The following is a 3028-nucleotide window of genomic DNA, read 5'->3' on the forward strand; positions in this document are numbered from 1 at the left end:
ACAGCTCAAGAGTAAAAATATTTGCAAATATGGTTTGACCTTATTTCTGCTATTGTTTTACTTCCACTTCTCTCAGAGTTTATTCTGCTAATTCTGCCCTTTACTCTGCACCTGACTCTGCCCTTGCCACTCCACTGAAGGTCCTCTTTTCCAGGTTGCCAGCATCCCCTGCACTGCTGAACCAATGCATCCCTTCTCTGCCTTGACCTAACTTAGTCTCCCATAAACAGCCAACAGTATTGTTCATGCTCTCCCTCTTGATATTTCCACACCCCCATTTATGTTTGTCCACCATCATTTTTGGATTTTTCCCCTTCCACTTTTAAACTTCCCCAAAAGCTCTTCTTTTTCCTCTCCATTCCTTAAACATTGGTGATTTTTTGATGTATGTCCTCAGTCTTTTTTTTTTTCTTTTTATTCATCCTCATTCTCTTCCTGAGAAATATCTTGTTGTTTCAAGGCTTTAATTATCAGCTATATGCTTATTGTTAAATCTACATCTCTGATCTAGCTGCTTCTTCTGAGCCCCAGACTTATGTATCCAACTGCTTACTGGGCATCTCTGCCTGGATGTCCCATAGTCCCTCAAACCCTATATGCCCAGATTGGAACTCATCCTCCCCACAAGCCTGTTTCTCCTGTGCACACCTATCAGTGCCTGGTATTCCAGGTCGCATCTTAACCAAGCTAGAACCCTGGAGGTCCCATTTGACTCCTCTCTCTCTGTGAACCCCCATCCGTATTAGTCTATTTGGCTGCTATGACAAAATATCATGGGCTAGGTGACTTAAACAACAGAAATTTATTTTCTCATAGTTCTGGAAGCTGGAAAGTCTAAGATGAATGTGCTGGTAAATTTAGTTTTTGCTGAGGGCTTTTTTCCTGGTTTACAGATGGCCACCTTTTTAATGTGTCCTTACATGGCGGGCAGAGAGAAAGAGAGAGAGCAAGTTCTCTGGTTTCTCTTCTTATAAGGAAGGACACATCCTATTGGATCAGGGCCCCATACCTATGGCCTCATTTAACCTTAATTGCTTCTTTAGAGGCCCTAGCTCCAAATATAGCCACATAAAAGTTAGGGTTTCAAAATATAAATTTTGTCGGGAGTTGAGAGGGACACAAAGTTTCAGTTCTTAAAACCATCCATCAGTCACCAAGGTCTTTAATTCTTTGTAATAAATAGTGTGTGAAATGCCCACTTCTCTCAACCCCGTGGTCATTAGTTAAGTTCTGACACCATCATCTTTCTTTCACCTGATTTACCACAGCAAGAATCCTTACTGTTTCCCTGCTTCCAGTCTAGCCCTCTCCCATCTAGTCCCTACACTGCAGCTAGGGTACCCTGTCTCAAATGCAAATCTGATCACATTACCCTTCTCTTAAATCTTTTCAACGACTCTCACAATAAAGCCCAGTCCTGTTCATGTGGCTTATGAAGACCTCTGTGACCTGGGCTTTGCTTGTCACCCCAGTCTTACCTGTGACAGCTCCCCACTGTCTTAGTCTGTTTTGTGTTGCTGTAAATGAATACCTGAAGCTGGGCTGTTGATAAAGAAAAAAGGATCATTTGGCTTATGGTTCCAATGACTGGAAAGTTCAAGATTGGGCGTCTGCAATGGGTGAGGGCCACAGGCTGCTTCCACTTATGGTGTAAGGGGAAGGGGAGTCGGTGTGTGCGGATATCACATGCTGAGAGAGGGGACAAGCAAGAGAAGTGGGAGGCGCCAGCTCTTTTTAACAACCAATGTTTGAGGGAATTAATAGAATGAGAACTCACTCACCCTCACCCCCCGTGGGGGGCATTAATGTATTCATGCAGGATCCATCTCCATGACCCAAACATCTTCCATTAGGCCCCACCTCCCAATATGGCCACACTGGGGATTAAATTTCAACATAAGGCTTAGAGGGGACAAACAAACATCCAAACTATAGCACCCACCTTGTGCTCAGTGCTCCAGGCTTAAGAAGCATCCACTTTCCCCAAGGAACTATATTTTTTCTCTTGCACGTCTTTAAGAACTTACTGTTTTTTTCCTGCAATTGTGTTCTGCTCCTTCTCCCTCCCTCCTTTCCTTTCTTTTTCCCTGTCTCCTCCCCAGCATCTGAAGAGCCTGGCTAATGTTTCCTCATCTCTCAGGTCCCAGCGTTGTCAACACCACTTTCTCCCAGAAGCTTTTCCTACCCTCTAAGGTTGAGCGGGTGTCCTTCCTCCAGAGGCTCCTTTGCTTACTCATTTCTTCTTACTGTGTCCCAGAGTCTAGCACAGAGCTTGGCACAAAGCCAGCTTTCACTAATTAGAAATGGATGAATACATCTCACCCACCGTTTAGGCCAGTTAATCAGGCAATAAACCCGTTCTATTCTGGTAACAGTGTCCTCCACCTCTGAAGGAAAAAGTAAACCACATCTACATTATGTCAGTGTGCTATTTTAGGGGAGTCAGCAGGTGATGTCATAGGACAGAGCTCTGCAGGGTGGGTGGGAATGGTCTTGGATGCAGGGAGATCAGCTCAGCCACTGTGTAGGAGGGACGTCTTCATGTCTTCTCATTTGCTGCCAGGCCGTCATGACAGCTTTCTGTCTCTATGTGAATGAATGACTGCAAACCTGAGAGGTATTTAAAACATCCAACAACTGCTATGGCTGCATAGATAAATAAGTGAATAAGAAAATGACAGTGCTCGCTTTGGTGGCACACATACCAAAACTGGAATGATACAGAGAACATTAGCACAGTCCCTGTACAAGGATGACACACAAGTTTGTGAAGTGTTAAAAAAAAAAAAAGAAAATCAGAAATGGGTTTCTTATTCTCTAACTAAACTAAACTGTATGTCACAAAACAAGTGATATAACTAATTCTGGTGCATATCACTCACCAAATTATTCTAATAATTTCCAACTTGTTTATTGATTTTAGAAAAAACTGTTTTTGTGGATTTCACTGACTAAATAGTGCTCCTTTCTGAGCCGTGATTGAACACAAGAACTACATCAAGGTCTTCCAAGGATTTTACTATTAGGA

General features: G+C 43.1%; 1 pseudogene; it reads left to right on the top strand.

Moving 5' to 3' along the window:
- On the top strand, nucleotides 2681–2787 carry RNU6-1228P (RNA, U6 small nuclear 1228, pseudogene; annotated as a pseudogene).

This window comes from Homo sapiens, chromosome 9 (assembly GCF_000001405.40).
Source record: "Homo sapiens chromosome 9, GRCh38.p14 Primary Assembly".
Lineage (NCBI taxonomy): Eukaryota > Metazoa > Chordata > Mammalia > Primates > Hominidae > Homo > Homo sapiens.